This window comes from Homo sapiens, chromosome 5, assembly GCF_000001405.40.
Source record: "Homo sapiens chromosome 5, GRCh38.p14 Primary Assembly".
NCBI lineage: Eukaryota > Metazoa > Chordata > Mammalia > Primates > Hominidae > Homo > Homo sapiens.
In genome coordinates, this window is record NC_000005.10 from 149,069,204 (window position 1) to 149,089,680 (window position 20,477).

At 40.8% G+C, this 20,477-nt stretch overlaps 1 long non-coding RNA gene across 1 annotated transcript in view, besides 1 other annotated feature; it reads left to right on the top strand.

Annotated features, from left to right (window-relative positions):
- Positions 1-20,477, top strand: part of SH3TC2-DT (SH3TC2 divergent transcript) — a 46,471-nt gene that overhangs the window by 5,887 nt on the left and 20,107 nt on the right. The window lies entirely within an intron of this gene.
- Positions 3,797-4,996: an enhancer, noted in NCBI's record as "P300/CBP strongly-dependent group 1 enhancer chr5:148452563-148453762 (GRCh37/hg19 assembly coordinates)". NCBI's record gives its function as "activates an origin of replication core promoter dependent on BRD2, BRD4, P300/CBP, MED14 and CDK7 cofactors, with strong dependence on P300/CBP, by STARR-seq in HCT116 cells {active_cell/tissue: HCT116}" and the evidence as "EXISTENCE:reporter gene assay evidence [ECO:0000049][PMID:35650434]".

Below are 20,477 nucleotides of genomic sequence, written 5' to 3' on the forward strand. Positions count from 1 at the left end.
TTTGTGGTACTTTGTTAGAGTAGTCCTAGGAAACTAATACAGATCCCATAAGAGACAAGAATATGTCATTTCTCAACAAATTGTTCAGTGAACAAATATTTATTGAGCACCTTCTACACCTAGGCATTTATCTAAGTCTAGAGGATAATCAGCAAGGAAAAAAGACAACATATCGCCCTCATGTAGCTTTCACATTCTAGTGAAAGGAGAAAGGCAAGAAACATAATAAATAAGTAAATTATACAGTGTGTTAGATGGCGGAAAGTGTTATGGAAAAAAAAAGGGTCTGCCACAGTAGAGGGGCTGCAGTTTTCAGAAGGGCAGAGAGACAGAAGTCATCACTGAGAAAACGACAACTGAGCAAAGACCGAAAGGACATGAGGGAAGGATCCAGGGGCAGCCAGGGGAAAAGCATGCCAGGAAAAGGGAAGAGCCAGTGCAAAGGCCCTGGGGCAGAAGCGTGCCCATCATGATAGAGGAAGGGCAGAAGAGAGTGTGACTTGAACATGGTGAGAAAGAGGTAGGAAGCAGACACCTTCAAGGTCATAATTAAAGAAAGAATGAAGAAAGATCTTCATTACAAAAGTGTAGGCAGGCTTAAGGCAAACCAGCAAGTATGATGACGCACTCCAGGGCTAGAAATAAAAAGAAACGATAACATCCTTAGGCCTGAAGGCACAAAAGGAGAGGTAGCTAGTGGAATCTAGCAAGAGCTGGCTGCAGCCAGGGCCCAGTGCCAGGGGCTGTGTCTTTGATAGAGAAACATAGTTATGGCCTAGCCAAGGTCATGAATGGAAAGGGGCCAGCAGAATAAATACTCCATCTTCTCACCTTCCATCTTCCCATGACTGAATATAATTGGAAGCCAAAGATTGAGAGAGCTTTGTGGAGGAAGCCCATAGAGGCCAGCCTCCTGGGGGCACAGCACAGGGTAGAGAAGAGTGCAGAGTGGGTTCCAAAGGATGACTGAAGATTCGGCAGCATAGGGAGATTAGCAGGAGATGAAGTCAGAGAGGTAACAGGGGCCTGGGTATGTAGAGCTTGCTAGATCATTTTAAGGATGGTGGCTTTCATCTGAGTGAAATGGCAACCATTGGAGAATTTTCGGTGGAAGAGTGATATGACTTATGATTTGAAAGAATCACTCCAGCTGCTGTGTTGAGAATAGACAGGGTGGAAAAGGACAAGAGTGAAGCAAGAAGACTGGCAAGAGGCTATTGCAGTAATGCAAGCAAAAGTGTGGCTGGACCAGGGGGTTGGCCTAAAGGAAAACAAAACTGAGGCAAACTTAATATAAGTAGAGTTTATTTGAGCCAAGTTTGAGGACTGCAACCCAGAATTATAGATTCAAGTTGCCCTGAATATGAGCTTGGATTAGCCACAATTACAGGTGGGTTTTTAAAGGAAAAGAAGAAGCAGTTCCTAAGTTATTTACCAATAATTTACATTAAAATAACATAAGCTATTGATTGGCTATACATTGTTATTAAATTCCAGGAAAATGAAGATTATGAGTGAGGCAGCTAGTCAGGAAAAAAATGCCTTTAATAACGGACCCATGGTATGGGTGCAGGAGACATTACTGAAGTCCCATATTCATGACTCTGAGCCTGATAAATTTTGCATACCTCGCACAGCTCAGATTGTTCTGAGCTATTTTTCTTTTCTTAAAAATAATGTTAAACTAAATTTGGCCTAAGGACGCCTCCATATTTGATTTCTTATGTTACAAACTATAACCTAATTTAGTACATAAACTAACTGAAACTAACTTGGGTGTATACTTTTGTAACAAAAGCTGAGTCTCAGCCCATCACAGCAGCAGAGCTTCAGTCAATTAAAGGTGGCCAACTGATCAAACTATGATCAAATAAGGCAAATACTGAGCTGTAACCAATCAAGCAGCCTCTGTACCTCACTTCTGTTTTCTGTCTGTAAATGCTGCCTGCTCAAGTTGCAGCCTGGAGCTCTCTGAAACTGTTCTTGTTCTGGTGGGGGTGGGGCAAGGGTGGGGGTGCCCAATTTGTGAATCATTCTTTGCTCAATTAAATGCTCTTAAGTTTAATTTTTCTAAAGTTTTTTCTTTTAACAGTAGAAGCAGTGGAGGTGATGAGAAGTGGTGAGATTCTGGTTTATTTTGCAGGTTGACGCAGAATTAACTGTTGCATGAGATGTGGGGTATGAGAGAAGGCCTGAGTACCTAGAAGGATTGGGATGCCATGAACTGACAGAGGTTGTGTAATAGTGTGATATAATAAGAAATACATGGTGGGCATGGTGGCTCAAGCCTGTAATCCCAGCACCTTGGCCACCACTGCAGGACCATTGCTTGAGTTCAGGAGTTTGAGACCAACCTGGACAATATAGTGAGACCTCACCTCAAAAAAAAAAAAAGAAGAAGAAGAGGAAATACATATTTGATCTCTGCCCCTGGTTCTTGAGACAGAGCTCCTAAAACTTTTATGATTCCCTAAGTGACAAGATCACCTGATGCAGAGCTCCTAAATCCCTTGGAATTTCCTGGAGGACAGGAGCATCTTTTGTTCTAAAGGTCACTCTTGGTGGACTCCTCAATAGCCTCATGATGGGGGCTGGTAGCCAGGGGAATCAACCGTGTGATTACAGTAGAACTTTCAAACCCCACTGACCTGACCTCTGGGGAAGAGAGGGGGTGCTAAAGATGAGCTAATCACCAATGGTCAATGATTTAATCAGTCATGCTACACAATGAAGCCTCTATAAAACCCCAAAAGGACAGGGTTCAGAGAGCTTCCTGGTTGATGAATCAGTAGAGGTGCTGGGAGGATGGCACACCTGGAGAGGGCATGGCACTCTGTGCCCCTTCCCACATACCTTACATTATGCCTCTCTTCCATCTGGCGTTCATCCACATCCTTTTGTAATATCCTTTATAATAAATGGGTAAATGTAAGTCAAGTGTTAGTCTGAGTTCTGTGAGATGCTCTAACAAATTAATCAAACACAAAGAAAGGATCATGGGAACCCTTGATTTATAGCTAGCTGGTCAGAAATACAGATCACAACCAGGGGCTTGTGACTGACACCTGAAGTGGAGGGCAATTTTGTGGGACTGGGCTCTTAAACCGTGGGATCTGACACTATCTTCAGGTAGATGGTGTCATAACTGAACTGAATTATAGGACACCCAGTTGGTGTCTGCTGGAGAATTGCTTGGTATGTGAGGAAAAAAACAGACACATTTTGGTGAGAAGCAATAAAATACTCTACATGCTGTGTTGAGTGTTGTATCATGTGCCCCAGTAGGAATAACAGCTTGTTTTTCCTATTGTTACAATTGGCACTGGATCTATCTCATATAGGGGACAGGAGGAGGCCTGCCAGGAGAGCAGGCTTGGCTGAGTGGGTAGGTGAGGTGGAACTGTTCACAAGTCTGGTATTTAGGGGAAAGGTCTCTATGGAAAATACAAACTTGGGAACCATCAGTATATAGATATATATTCGATATGAAAATGAAGTTAACACTTCTCAACAGGAAAAACAAAGTTTTTTGGAGGAGGTGGCATGTGATTGGGGACCTTGAAAGATGGGATTTTCATAGTCAGAAATAGGTGGGAAGACAATCCCAGATTAAGAAAGAGCCATTATCAATGCTAGGATTCACATTGAGGCTAGTTTAGGGAACATTTTTTCAGTTTGAATGAGCAGAGGACTGATTTTGGAGGGAGCCAGTGGCAGAAATATGAGCAGAATATTAGCCTTGTGACTTGCTGTACACTCATGCATCTATCTACGAATTCATCAGACACCACTGGTTACCTTAAAAGCTGTGTTTGTTGTGGACATTAACAACAACAATCATAAATGCATATTGAGCCCTTATCATGTGCTCATGTGAAAATTCCTCACTTAATATTCACCCCCAACTAAAAATAAGGAAAGTAAGAGTCTGAGTGATTTTCTCCAGTTCTGTCTGCCGGTCAGATTGGAACAAAGGCAGTGTGACCCCAGAGCCTTTGCCTTACCACTCAGCTCTACTTCTTTGTCAGAAACACCAAACCAGGCATCTGTGGTGGTGGGGCCTGGCAGCCACCAGAAATATAGACTACTAAGTCTTGGGCAAGGCTTCCTCCTGACTTTCTTCTGTATGAGATGTGAAACCTGCCCTCTCCAGGGGTCAGCTGAGGAACCAGCAGTGGTAGCTCCAGGAAAGAAGGTAGGGCTGCTGACCAGGGCTTAGGTCACCAAGCTGCTGACTCTGACTCACCTGGGAAAGCTGACTGGCTTTTAAAGCATCCACTCCCCATTTTGTGTCTCCTATGGGCAAACCTGAGGTCAAGGGCAGAAAACCAAAGCATCACCCTGGAAGGTTAGCACCGAAAGTGCCCTTGAACAGTAATGTGTCTATTCCTCTACTCCTTATCTCCTCCAAACCCATTTAAGACCATAGAGGCTATGTTCCTTGTCCTACATTGTCTTGGAAGGTTTGTGACAAATCCTATACTAGAGCTCAAATATGAGGACTTTCATGTTCAGTGTGCTTCCACAAAAGATGCTAACATGAATTAGTTCCTGGTTTGAAAGGAATAGTATCAACAACAAAAAGGGCGTCCACTCAGAGACCCCATCTGAAGGTCACCAACATCAAAGACCAAAGGTAGATAAATTCACGAAGATGGGGAGAAACCAGCTCAAAAAGCCTGAAAATTCCAAAAACCAGAATGCCTCTTCTACTCCAAAGGTTCACAACTCCTCACCAGCAAGGGAACAAAACTGGACAGAGAATGAGTTTGACGAATTGACAGAAGTAGGCTTCAGAAGGTGGGTAATAACAAACTCCTCCGAGCTAAAGGAGCATGCTCTAACCCAATGCAGGGAAGCTAGGAACCTTGAAAAAAGGTTAGACAAAATGCTAACTAGAATAACCAGTTTAGAGAAGAATATAAATGACCTGATGCAGCTGAAAAACACATGAATTAGTTCCTGTTTTAAAATTAGGTTTCCTGGTGAGCAGGCTGGAATAGAATCAAGTGTGTGTGTGTGCATGCATGTGTGTGTGTGTGTATCTGTGTGTGTGCCAAGTTCATGATACAAGCCCAGGACTGACACTCCCTACCACTCCCAGGGAAAGGAATTTCTCCTAAGTTCAACTTGTCTTTCAGGAAAATTTAGATTTTAAGCATCTGACCCAGTAAATGGGACAGGAAAGAGGAGCCCTGCCATCCAGTGAGTCCTGCTCAGGTGTCTTTCCTGGAGAAACACTCACACCTGTGTAGCAAGAGGCCTGTGCAAGAAAGCCAACAGCAGCATCACAAGAAATAGTGAGGAGTGGAAGGAACTCAAATGCCCATCAATACAGGAGTGATTATCCAGCAGTTAAAATGAATGAAGTGGGTCTTCACAGAGTCAAGGAAAGATCCCTAAGACATTATTACACAAGGAAGAAGGAGAAGAAAAGAAAGTTGGCAATACAATGCATACAATATGATCCCATTTGTGAAAAAGAAAGAACATCCCAACCATATGTGTGTATGTAGAAAGTAGATCCTCTTGCCTGATAATTTCAATGGATTTAATTCCACAATTGTGCACCGAGTGCCCTCTTTGTGCAGGCCTTGTAATCCATAAGGAAATCATCTAGCAGGGAGAAGTGTAGGCAACATCCCTGCCCTCTAGTAGCTGGATAAGGGAGGGGTAAATCATGCCTGAGCCAGCAGAGCATACCTGAGCCCCCAGAGCCATAACCAACCCCATACCTCACCCCTCAGAATCAGTGTCAGCCCAGGAGAGTAGCCACAACCCCAGCATTCAAGCCCATGTGTCACCAAGCCCCTTGGGGATCCAGAGATGGTCTCACCAGAGCAGCTGCACCTCTGATGCCTGAGCAGATGTGGTGCCCTACCCCCTAGGGAAACAGAGTCTTGGCTGTTCTATTTCACCCTACCCTTTGGGCTGTGCAACTGCAGAGCTCCATCTTCTCGGATCTGAACCAGCCCTCTGGAGTCTGAGCTGCTGAGGTGTTGCACCTCCCCAAGGTATTGAGCTATCATTGCCCTGCTCCCCACCTCCTAGAGCCCAAGCCACAGCTGTGCACCTCCATTCTAGGAATTCTCTGCCACTGCACCTGGACTTACACACCCTGGGCCACTGTCGTGTTCCACCTCTGCAGAGTCCAGAGTCACCATGATGTGCTACTTCCTCTCCTGATGCCTGAGTTGCCACTGTACCCTATCGGCTCTAGGCCCAAGTTTCTGGAACACTCCTTCCTCCCCAGAGCCATACCAGTGCTGTGCCCTGACCCCCAGCATCAGAGTCACAGCTACACACCTGACCCCTGGGCCCAAGCTACTGGGGAGTGGCTCAGAGTAACAGTCCTCTGTTTAGTGCAGGAGCTTCATCCACTTGTCACAGAGAGTGAACACCCACCTTACAGGTTCTACAACAGTACAACAAGACATTGAAGCCAGGACCCAAACTCCACAGCTACTCCAAGCAGCTGTAGTCTGGAACACAGAACCACTGTGGCTGCCTGTGGCCTGTGTCAGACCCAACACCAAGAGGGATCCCCTCAGCTACTTCTTCCCACTGTGGGAAAAAAAAAAACAAGAGGACCCCCCCCGCAAAGACTTTTCCACTGAGAGCTCTAACAACCGACCCTGCCACCACTGCTGCTACAAACTCTTGGAGCCTCAGCCACTGATTCAGCTGCAGTTATCAATGATGTCAATCACAACTGAAAAAAACCTCATGGAGACTGCTCTACTGCACCCACCTGGAACCAGAGCCAACACACAACCAACCTAGGACTCATATGCCAGTAAAAATCTTTCCCTATGAAAGCTACTCTAAAATTGGAGATGACTATTTCATCAGAGGCACAGACATCAACACAGGGACACAAGAAGCATGGAAAAGTAAGAAAATATGACATGATCAAAGGAACATAATTCTCCATTAACTGACCCTAAAGAAATTAAACTTCACAAATTTCCCAAAAAGTAATCAAAACAATGATCTTAAGGAAACTCAGTGAGATACAATAGAATACAGATAGAAAATTCAATGAAATCAGGAGAACAACTCATGATCTGACTGACAAATTCAACAAAAAGATAGATATAATTTAAAAAGAACCAAACAGAAATCTTGGAGCTGAAGAATTCAATGTATGAAATAAAAAAAAAAATACAGTTGAGAACTTCAACAGAATAGATCAAGCAGAAGAAAACGTCTCTGAACTTAAAGATAAGCCTCTTGAGAGAAGAATCAAATAGACGCAATAAAAAATAATAAATGGGATATCACCACCGATCCCACAGAAATACAAACTACCATCAGAGAATGCTATAAACACCTCTACGCAAATAAACTAGAAAATCTAGAAGAAATGGATACATTCCTCGACACATACACCCTCCCAAGACTAAACCAGGAAGAAGTCGAATCTCTGAATAGACCAATAACAGGCTCTGAAATTGAGGCAATAATTAATAGCTTACCAACCAAAAAAAGTCCAGGACCAGACGGATTCACAGCCAAATTCTACCAGAGGTACAAAGGGGAGCTGGTACCATTCCTTCTGAAACTATTCCAATCAATAAAAAAAGAGAGAATCCTCCCTAACTCATTTTATGAGGCCAGCATCATACTGATACCAAAGCCTGGCAGAGACACAACAAAAAAAGAGAATTTTAGACCAATATCCCCGATGAGCATCGATGAAAAAATCCTCAATAAAATACTGGCAAAACGAATCCAGCAGCACATCAAAAAGCTTATCCACCATGATCAAGTGGGCTTCATCCCTGGGATGCAAGGCTGGTTCAACATATGCAAATCAATAAACATAATCCAGCATATAAACAGAACCAACGACAAAAACCACATGATTATCTCAATAGATGCAGAAAAGGCCTTTGACAAAATTCAACAACACTTCATGCTAAAAACTCTCAATAAATTAGGTATTGATGGGACGTATCTCAAAATAATAAGAGCTATCTATGACAAACCAGCAGCCAATATCATACTGAATGGGCACAAACTGGAAGCATTCCCTTTGAAAACTGGCACAAGACAGGGATGCGCTCTCTCACCACTCCTATTCAACATAATGTTGGAAGTTCTGGCCAGGAAAATCAGGCAGGAGAAGGAAATAAAGGGTATTCAATTAGAAAAAGAGGAAGTCAAATTGTCCCTGTTTGCAGATGACATGACTGTATATCTAGCAAACCCCATCGTCTCAGCCCAAAATCTCCTTAAGCTGATAAGCAACTTCAGTAAAGTCTCAGGATAAAAAATCAATGTGCAAAAATCACAAGCATTCTTATACACCAATAACAGACAAACAGAGAGCCAAATCATGAGTGAACTCCCATTCACAATTGCTTCAAAGAGAATAAAATACCTAGGAATCCAACTCACAAGGGATGTGAAGGACCTCTTCAAGGAGAACTACAAAGCACTGCTCAATGAAATAAAAGAGGATACAAAGAAATGGAAGAACATTCCATGCTCAGGGGTAGGAAGAATCAGTATCGTGAAAATAGCCATACTGCCCAAGGTAATTTATAGATTCAATGCCATCCTCATCAAGCTACCAATGACTTTCTTTACAGAATTGGAAAAAACTACTTTAAAGTTCATATGGATCCATAAAAGAGCCCGCATTGCCAAGTCATTCCTAAGCCAAAAGTACAAAGCTGCAGGCATCACACTACCTGACTTCAAACTATACTACCAGGCTACAGTAACCAAAACAGGATGGTACTGGTACCAAAACAGAGAAAAAGACCAATGGAACAGAACAGAGCCCTCAGAAATAATGCTGCATATCTACAACTATCTGATCTTTGACAAACCTGACAAAAAGCAGAAATGGGGAAAGGATTCCCTATTTAATAAACGGTGCTGAGAAAACTGGCTAGCCATATGTAGAAAGCTGAAACTGGATCCCTTCCTTACACCTTATACAAAAATTAATTCAAGATGGATTAAAGACTTAAATGTTAGACCTAAAACCATAAAAACCCTAGAAAAAAACCTAGGCAATACCATTCAGGACATAGGCATAGGCAAGGACTTCTTGTCTAAAACACCAAAAGCAATGGCAACGAAAGCCAAAATTGACAAATGGGATCTAATTAAATTAAAGAGCTTCTGCACAGCAAAAGAAACTACCATCAGAGTGAACAGGCAACCTACAGAATGGGAGAAAATTTTTGCAATCTACTCATCTGACAAAGGGCTAATATCCAGAATCTACAATGAACTCAAACAAATTTACAAGAAAAAAACAACCCCATCAACAAGTGGGCGAAGGATATGAACAGACATTTCTCAAAAGAAGACATTTATGCAGCCAAAAGACACATGAAAAAATGCTCATCATCACTGGCCATCAGAGAAATGCAAGTCAAAACCACAATGAGATACCATCTCACACCAGTTAGAATGGCGATCATTAAAAAGTCAGGAAACAACAGGTGCTGGAGAGGATGTGGAGAAATAGGAACACTTTTACACTGTTGGTGGGACTGTAAACTAGTTCAACCATTGTGGAAGTCAGTGTGGTGATTCCTCAGGGATCTAGAACTAGAAATACCATTTGACCCAGCCATCCCATTACTGGGTATATATCCAAAGGATTATAAATCATGCTGCTATAAAGACACATGCACACATATGTTTATTGCAGTACTATTCACAATAGCAAAGACTTGGAACCAACCCAAATGTCCAACAATGATAGACTGGATTAAGAAAATGTGGCACATATACACCATGGAATACTATGCAGCCATAAAAAAGGATGAGTTCATGTCCTTTGTAGGGACATGGATGAAGCTGGAAACCGTCATTCTCAGCAAACTATCGCAAGGACAAAAAACCAAACACTACATGTTCTCACTCATAGATGGGAATTGAACAATGAGAACACATGGACACAGGAAGGGGAACATCACACACCGGGGCCTGTTGTGGGGTGGGGGGAGAGGGGAGGGATAGCATTAGGAGATATACCTAATATTGAATGACAAGTTAATGGGTGCAGCACACCAACATGGCACATGTATACATATGTAACAAACCTGCACGTTGTGCACATGTACCCTAAAACTTAAAGTATAATAATAATAAAAAAAAGAAAAGGGCCTACAAGACAAAAAAAAAAAAAAAGAAGATAAGTCTCTTGAAAAAACCTAGTTAGAAGAAAAAGGGGAAAAATTTTAAAGAGTGAAGAAAGCCTACAGGATTTATGGAACACCATTAAATGAGCAAATGCTCACATTATGAACTTCAAAGGAAGAAAAGAGAAAAAGACACGCAAAGTTTATTTAATGAAATAACTGCTGAAAGCTTCTTAAGTCTTGGGAGAGATATGGACATTCAGATCCATGAAGCTCAAAAGTTACCAAATTTATTCCAAAGGCACATTTTTATCAAAATGTCAAAATACAAAGGCAGAATCTTAAAAGCAGCAAGTGCCGTAAAGGGAATCCCCATTAGACTATCAGTGAATACCTTAGCAGAAACCTTGAAAGTCAGGAGAAAAGTGGGATAATATATTCAAAGTACTGAAAGAAAAAAATGCCAGCCTGGAATACTATAACCACAAAGTTATCCCTCAGAAATAAAAAAGAAATAAAGTATTCCCCACTTCATTACTATAATGGTAGTATGTAAATCTTTCAAATTGCTAGTATGAAGATTCAAACTTAAAATGGTCAAAATAACTATAGCTACAATAAAGTACAAAGGAAGATACAATATAAAATGATGTAAATTGTGACAGCAAAAATATAAATGGGGGGAATATAAAAGTCTAGAGTATTCACATGCAACTAAAGTTAAGTTGTTATCTGTTTAACACAGTCTATTACAACTACAAGATGTTTTAGATAAGCTCCATGGTAACCACAAAACAAAAAGCCACAGCAGATACACAAATGAGAAAGAGAAAGAAATAAAAACTTAACACTACAGAAAATCACCAAATCACTAAGACAGTAAGAGAGGAAGAAAGAAACAAAGGATCTACAAAACAACCAGAAAACAATTTAAAAAATGGCAGGAGTAAGTCCTTATTTATCAGTAATAACTTTGAATGTAAATAGATTAAACATTAAGCTGGATGTGGCGGCGCAAACCCATAATTCCAACTACTCAGGAGACTGATGCGAGAAGATTCCTTGAGCACAGAAGTTTGAGACCAGCCTGGACAACACAGTAAGACCCCCATCTCAAGAAAAAATAAGACATTAAGTGGCTGACATAGAGCGGGTAAAAAAATAAATAAATAAATAAATAAATAAATAAATAAATAAATAAAATTCCAACTATATGCTGTCTGCAAGAGACCTATTCTAGCTGTAGAGACATACATAGGCTGAAAGTAAAGGAATGACAGAAGATATTCCATGCAGATAGCAACCAAAAGAGAGACAGCTTGCTATGTTTATATCAGATAAAGTAGACTGTAAGTCAAAAACTGTTGCAAAAAACAAAGATCATTATTAAATGAGAAAGGAGTCAATTCATCAAGAGGTCATAACAATTATAAATATATACGCATCTACCATTGGTGCACATAAATATATAAAGCAAAAATTAATGGACATGAAGGAAGAAATAGATAGCAATACAAAAAAATTAGGGAACTTTAATACCTCATTTTCAATAATGGATAATCAACCAGACAGAAAATTAACCAGAAAATACTGGACTTGAACTGCACACGAGACCAAAATGGATCTAATAGACATATATAAAACTTTCCATCCTAACAGCGGGAGAATATACATTCTTCTCTAGTGCACATGGAACATTCTCCAGGATAGACCATATGCTAGGCCACAGAATAAGTCTTAACAAATTAAGGATGATTAAAATTATATCTAGTACTGCTTCTGATCAAAATTGTATGAAACTAGAAATCAGTAACAGGAAGGATCTTGACAATTCACAAATATGTGGAAACTAAACAACATGCTCCTGAACAACCATTGGTTCAAAGAAAAAAATCAAAAGGGAAATTCAAAAATGTCTTGAGACAAATGACAATGGAAACACAACATATCAAAACTTATGGAATGCAGCAAATGAAGTTCTAAGAGGAAAGTTTAGCAATAAATGCTTGTATTAAAAAAGAAGAAAGATTCCAAATAAATAGCCTAACATTATACCTCAATTATCCAGAAAAAGAAAAACAAACCAAATTCAAAGTTAGTAGAAGGAAAAATAATAATAAAGTTCAGAATAGAAATAAGTCAAAGAAAGAACAGAAAAACTATAGGAAAATAATCCATAAAACTAAGAGTTGGTTCTTTAAAAAAATAGATAAAATTGACAAACCCTTAGGTAGACTAAGAAAAAAAAGACTTAAAGAAAAAGAAAAGTGAAGACATTACAACAAAAGCTTCCGAAATTCAAAGGATCGTAGAGACTATTATGAACAGTTATATGCCAACAAATTGGTTAACTTTAAAGAAATCAATAAATTCTTAGAAATAAATAAACTACCAAGATTGAATTGGAAGAAATAGAGAGATTGAACATACCAATAACAAATAAATTGATTGAAGAAGCAATTAAAAGCCTTCCAACAAAGAAAAGCCTAGGACCAAAAGAGCTTCACAGCTGAATTATACCAAACAGTCAGAGAAGAATTAATGTCAATACCTCTTAAATTCTTTCAACTAATTTTTAACAAGGGCACCAAGAGGACACAAGGAGGGAAGGATGGTCTCTTCAACAAGGGTGCTGGGAAAACAAATTTTAACATGCAAAAAAAATGGAATTGGACCCTTATCTTACACCATACATAAAAATCAACTCACAATGAATAAAAGACCAAAATGTAAGATCTGATACCATAAAATTTTAGAAGAGAACACAGGGAAAAAGCCCCTTGACATTGGTCTTGGCAATGAATTTTTGGATATCGCACCAAAAGCTCAGGCTACAAAAGCAAAACTAAATGAATGGTATTACATCAAACTGAAAAGCTTCATTATAGTGAAGGAAACAATCAACAAAATGAAAAGGCAAGCTATAGACTGGGAAAAGATATTTGCAAACTGTGTGCCTGATAAGGGGTTAATATCCAAAATTTATAAAGAACTCTTATAACTAAACAGCAAAAAACAAATAACTTGATTTAAAAACAGGCAAAGGATATGAACAGACATTTCTCTAAAGAAGACATAAAAATGGCCAAAATGTATATTAAGAGACACTCAACATCACTAATCACAAGGGAAATGCAAATTAAAACCACTATGAGATATCACCTCACACCTGTTAGAAAGGCTATTACCAAAAAGATAAGAGATAACAAATGTTGGTAAGAGTGTCAAGAAAAGGGAAGCCTAGTATACTACTGTTGGGAATGTAGATTGGTAGAGCCATTATGGAACACAGTATGGAGGTTTCTAAAGAAATTAAAAATAAAACTTCCATATAACTCAGCAACCCTTCTTCTGGGTATATATCCAAAGAAAATGAAATTACCACTTCCGCTGCTGAGTGTGTTAGCTCATGCCTGTAATCCTAGCACTTTGGGAGGCTGAGGCAGAAGGATCACTTGAGCCCAGAAGTTCAAAACCAGCCTGGGAAACATAACAAGACCCTTTCTCTACAAAAAATAAAAAATTAGCCAGGTGTGGTAGTGCCTGCTTGTAGTCCCAAGTACTCTGGAGGCTGAGACAGAAGGATCAACTTGAATCCAGGAGTGAGTCTGCAGTGAGCTATGATAACACCACTGCTCTCCAGCCTGGGCAACAGAGCAAGATGCTGTCTGAAAAAAAAAAGAACAAAAAAGAAATAGCCACCTCATAAAAATATTTGCACCCACATGTTCATTGCAGCCTTATTCACAGCAGCTAAGATAAACAACCTAAATGTCCATCAATGGACGAATGGATATAGAAAATGTAAATATATATGTATATTAATATTATTCAGTCTGAGGAAAGAAGAGATTATTCTGCTATTTGCCACAACATAGATGGATCAGGAGGACATTTTGATAAGTGAAATAAACCAGACACACAAAGAAAAAAATTGTATGATCTTACTTATATGTGGAAACTGAAAAAAAAAAAAAAAAGGCCAAATATGCAGAGCTACAGAATCAACATTGTCATTTGTCTCAGTGGTTACCATGGTGAGAAGTATGGGGAGATGTCAAAGGATACAAAGTAGCAGATATGTAGAATGAACAAGTCTAGAGATCTCATGTACAACATGACTGTAGTAATAAAATAAAAGTAATACTGTATTAGGATTTTTTGTTAAATAGATTTTAGCTGCTCTTGTCACACATACACAAAAAATAACTATATGAAATGATAGATATGTTAAGCTGCCTCACTATAGTAACCATTTTACTATCTGTATATATCCCATAACATCATGCTGTAAACCTCAAATATATGCAATAAAATGTATTTTTTAAAAAAATATGAAAAAAAGAGATGAAGAAGGCAAAAGAAAAAGAGGAGGAGAAATTCTAATGTAAGCATGGTGTATAAGGGGTGCTCTTAGAAGAAAGGTCCAAGGTGTCTCCTAGGCTGTTATACTCTTGACCTGACTTGAAAGATGGTCCCTCATACTGAGCATCACAGAAGATACCAGATCTCCATGCCAAACACAATCTCCACAGCAACTCAGAAGGAAGAAGAAGCAAAATCAAGAAGCATTTTCTGTAACAGGCATATTCCAGTAACTGAAGGTCCCTCAACTCCCCAGTTTTTTGATGGCCTTCATAGAGCGCTGCCTGTAGCTGATTACAGCGCCCTGGGGAAAGCAACTTTATACTACCAGTATCTTCTTCTGGGACAGACGTCATGCAGGAGTTACACCATCTGCATGAATGTAGCCACCCTCCAAGTATGACCTCTACACTCTCCCCTACCTGATGAAGTGCCTCCATTCGACCCGCAATCTGCTCAGAGGGCCCCCACTCTTGCTGGGAGCCTTGGGTAATAGCAGAGGAAGCCTCTTCTCTTCTTGAAGATGACACACCTCTTTTCATCCAGTCTAACTGAGAGCAGGCTGAAGAGTTACATGGATTACACGGAATAACATACCCTTCTACCACAGCACTTCCCGGTCCTTGGGCTTGTCTTCCCTGGGTGGAGAAATCAGCCAGACAAGCTACTATCCAAGAGGGTAACAGAAATCTTACCAGTACTTGGATGTGTTTGTACCTCTCAGCGGTCAATCTGGGCATTAGATTTGTGGTCAGAAGACTTGAATTATATCCTGACTCTACCGGTTTGAGTTGTATGCTCTTTGGCATATATCCCCCTTTGTAAATAACAATAATAATAATAATTAAAGAAAGATAACAAAAAAGGTTATACCTCACTAAATAACGGTGAGAAATTGAAAAGATTTTTTTTACTTGTGCAAAGCTCGTGTGCATAGGTGTACACGTGCAAACACTGTTGTACTTGTCTTAGGTGTGTTCTTCAAGTATCTGGAACATATAGGTCTATGGGGAGGAAGGGGATCCAGGTGAGCAGAATATGCCAAGCAGTCACGATAGAAACAAAATCTCAGTTTCAATCAGAAGGCATATCCAGAAACACTACTAAGCAAAACCGCATCCACCTGTCCTCAAAGATAATCAGAAAGATTCTTTTCAGATTCCTAACATCTGTAACTGTAAGAAAATAAAATTTGTGTTGTTTTAAGCATTAAGTTTGTGGTAATTCATTACAGCAGCCATGGGAAATTAATATACCTGGGAACCAGTAAGATGCAGATTCTGATCCTAATAGGTGGGAAGGGGCCGGAAGATCTACATTTCTAATGGGAGCTTGCCTGTGGTACCTGTTCCACTGGTCTGCAGACCATACTTTGAGCAGCAAGACCACAGACAACTCCACCTGCAGCCCTTCCTTCAGTGACTGGAGCCTCCAGTTAGCATGGCATGGGAGCAGGGACCCTGCAGAGTCCATAGTTCCTTACCTTTGACTGCCTGAGCCCTGAGCATCTGTCCCATTGAAACTGGCATGGATCTCTCACCAGGCTTTTAATGTCACCTCGCCTAAGAGATACTCCTTTTATTCCCTTTTGTTGCCCTCTGTTTATTTACTTCATGGACGATAATCATAAATCTGAGTTTTTGTTTATTTTCCCCCTCCTCATATTTCTGCCCCCACCCACTCTGTGCAGCAAGAGCCTAGCACAGAATACGTACTTCTACGTAAATAAATAAATAAATACGTGGATGAAAGACTGAAGGGGTCCCTTAGGTTTTTTTCAAATAAATGTGTGCCAAAATCCCTCACAACTTATATTTGGTTTTTGGTTTTGTTTTTATTTTGAGAAAAGGTCTTGCTCTGTTGCCCAGGTTGGAGTACAGTGGCATGATCACAGTTCATTGCAGCCTCGGCCTCCCAGGCTCAAGCAATCCTCCTGCCTCAGTCTCCAGAGTAGCTAGAATCACAGGTGCACACCACCACACTTTTTACATTCTTTGTAGAGATGGGGTCTCTCTATGTTTCCCAGTCTGGTCTCAAACTCCTGAACTCAAGTGATCCTCCTACATCAGCCTCCCAAAGTGCTGGGATTACAGGCATGAGCCACCACTCCCAGCCTACATCTTATATTTGTACAACTGGATTTTTCTTTAAGCTACATAATTCAAAAGTTTACATTGATCCAAGGAGCTTTATCTGCTCAGACTGGGCTCTGAGTATTTGAGTATTGATTCTTCCCATCCATGTTCAAGATTTCTTCCCAGATTTAAAAAGCCTGCTGTAGTAGGTTAGTTTCCTAGAAGCAGACTCTGAGAAGAAGAATGGCAGGCAGGAAATTTATGGGGATGTGCTCTTGGGATCCACACCAGTGGGTAGAGCGAGAGAAACAAGATCGGGCAGGAGGAGTTGCTGGGCAGCAATACAGATCCAACAGAGGCCTGGACTGGTTCCTACAGAGTGCTCTAGAGTGGGTGGGTCCTTCAGAGTTCCTGAATTGAGGTCAGGGGGCCCGACCTTTTCACACCTATAACAGCCTATCATTGGAGTCAGGCTGCTTCAGAAGGGACCACGCCCATGAGATTGTTCTCTTCAATTCTAAGCAAGCCCTAGAGAGGGACTCGGCTGAGAGCCGTCAACCTTGAAAGCTTCCAGCAACTAGGGGATAAGTGGGTCCATCCTGATGTGGTGGGAATGTAGGCAGCCTCCACAACATTCTGTATGCATGCCTGTTTTTTCAGCCATTTTGTGGGGGGAAACTATTAAATAAGTCCAGAATAGAGATGTGTGGCACACTGATACGAACAAAAGAGAAACAGACTAATGATGCAAAGGAGAAGAAAAACACCGTTTTTTTTTTCTGGAGGGAGGTTCTTGTACACACACTTTTAAATGACTAGCTCTCATAAGAATTCACTCACTATAACAAGGACAGCACCAAAAGAAACTAGGATGGACTTGAGGTTATATACAAACAGCCTGTCTCGGAGACAGAGTTCTTCTGAGATGGGCCACAAGGAAAATGTGATACACAAAAATGTTAAGAGTTTGAGGGAAGGAGGGGAGCATTTGGGGCAGTTCATGGGTGGAGGTCTCAGTGTTCTCAATATAAACCAGGAGAAGAGGAAAGGTCTACATGGGAGGGCAGTGTAATAAGAAGTCAACAGAAAGGAATAAGATGATTGCTTGGGGCAGTGAGGGGCAAGCCAGGCTGGCTGTTAGGAGTTTTCAGGGGACCCAGTCATGGGAATTTATGGCACCCCTCCAGCCGTCTTGAAACACAGCAGGGACAGCAGATGGTTCTGAGCTGGCAATGTAGGGGTGGCCAGGGGGAAATGGGGTGACAGAATCCCGGGAACTGGTGAGAGAGTCACTGAAATAGATGACCTTGGAGTCAGGCTGGATGGGGAGGCCAAGGTGGGTGGCAAGGGAAATGAGAGCAAGAATGGTCCATGACATAAGGTCATGAGAAGACTGTCCAGCTGGTTCAGGAGTCAGTTTGTATATTTTCCCTATCCAAATCTCATGTTGAAATTTAATCCCCAATGTTGGAGGTGGAGCCTAGTGGGAAGTGATTGGATTGTGGGGGCAGATTTCTCATGAGTTATTTAGTGTCACCCCCTTGGTGCTGTCCTTGTTATAGTAAGTAATTCCCATGAGATCTGGTCATTTAAAAGTGTGTGGTGGGCCGGGCACAGTGGCTCATGCCTGTAATCCCAGCACTTTGGGAGGCCAAGGCGGGCAGATCACCTGAGGTCAGGAGTTTGAGACTAGCCTGGCCAACATGGAGAAACCCCATCTCTACTAAATAAAAATACAAAAAAAATTAGCCAGACATTGTGGTACATGACTGTAGTCCTAGCTACTCTAGAGGCTGAGGCACGAGAATCGCTTGAACCTGGGCAGCGGAGGTTGGCAATGAGCTGAGACTGCACTACTGCACTCCAGCCTGGGCAACAGAGCGAGACTCTGTCTCTATTTAAAAAAAAAAAAAGGTGTAGCGCCTCCCCTTTCTCTCTCTTTTGCTCCTGCTTTCACCATGTGATGTGCCTGCTTGTGCTTCACCTTCTTCTACAAGTAAAAGCTTCCTGAGGCCCTCCCAGAACCTGAGCAGATGCCAGCACCATGCTTGTACAGCCTGCAGAACTGTGAGCCAATTAAACTTCTTTTCTTTATAAAGTACCCAGTCTCAGGTATTATTTTTACAGCAATTCAAGAACAGCCTAACACAGAGTAGGACAGCAGACAAAGTGGATGGTGAAGAGGGGCACGTCAGAGATCATGTTTGTAATGCTGGAGAGTAAGAAGGAGTCCTAGTCCCTGCTGAGGGTGATGATGGAAGTGCCATCCTGCAGATAAGTCAGGTCCCAAAACCACCCAATGTATTCTGCTTAAAATGATGTTATTACAGTAGGTTCATGTGCATTAAAAAGTTCAAACTATATAGTGAACAAAAAAGCTAGTCCCCTTTCAAACAACTTCAGCCCTAACCCAAGCTTAGCCCCTTCTCCAAAGGCAACCACTGGTATTTTGGAGTGACTTTCCAGATCTTTGGCTCTGTATTCTAGACACAGGCATATGTGCTCCCATTTCTGGAAGGAAGATTATATATATATATTATATATATACATAAAAAAATATATACACACACACCCTTAAGATAATATTAATCACATAATAAACATATCCATATATATTCATACCATATATAGTATTATATAATTGAAAATCTATTATATAATTACAAGATAGTATATTATATTATTATATAATGTATATTAATTTGCACACCGCTTCATGCTTGATTTCACTGGAATTGCCCCACATTGTGAAAATGGCAACTCTGACTTTGCCTCTTTAACTTGACTTGTCACTGGGTCTTTCAAGTAAGAAAGATGGGTGCTCTTCGTGGAAAAAAGAATTTTACTGAGGGCAGCCCAGATGGCAGCCTGTGAAGGGTGAGGTCCATGGGTAAAGCTGGCCCAGAAAGGTTTTCTCTTTCCTCCTGCTAGAGGCAGTAAAGTTGTGTCTCAGTGTTTTTGGCACATGGTTTTCCAACATCTAGGAATATTTTCCTCTTTCCGGTGGGAGTTGTATCTCCCTTCCTGGAATCTAAACAAGTTCAAAACAAACTCCTAAACAAAGGGACTCTCTGCTCCATGGTTCTCAACTCCATTCCCTTGAGAGGCACAAGCTGAGATTCTACTCTTCTGATTACTTTCCCAGGCAAGCCCCACAGAGAATCCCACACCAGGCCTTCCTCTTGCACCTTGCCAGTGGCCACCAATTGTTATGAACATCCTTATGGGTGTAGCATTTTACACCCTTTATTTATGCTGTCATAATTATGCAGGGAAAAGAAGATTGTTTTCCTGATAGAAGCTATTTGGGGACTTTCGATGACCCGAGGTTCAATGAATGGTCTTGCCTAAGACAAATTGATCACCATTAAGCTGGATGAGATAAAATGAATCCTAGACAAAGGATGGTGAGAGGCCCCCATTTAAGTCCTGATTCTGCCCCTCTGCCTCATCACGAGGCTGAGAGGCTGAGCAGCTTGTCCAAGGGTGCATTCATCAATTATGAAATTGAAACATAATCTCTGCCCTATGTGCTTTACAGAGTGGCTGTGAGAGGAAATTCAGAAGTATCTTTGGAAGCATTTTGTTAATTTTGAGATGCTGGGGACATCATCAAAATGAAAAACTTTTGTGCCTCAAAGAACACCATCAAGAAACTGAAAAGACAACCCAAGAAGACAAAATTTGCAAATCTTATATCTGATATAATATAGAATATATAAATAAATATATATATACACATATCTATAACATATAAAGAATTCTTACAATTTAAAAATCAAAGTAAAATAAACCAATTTAAAAATAAACAAAAGAACTGAACAAATGTTTCTCCAAAGAAGATATATAAATGGCCAATAAGCTCATGGAAAGATGATTGACATCATTAGTCCTCAGGGAAAGCCAAATCCAAACCACAATGAGATAC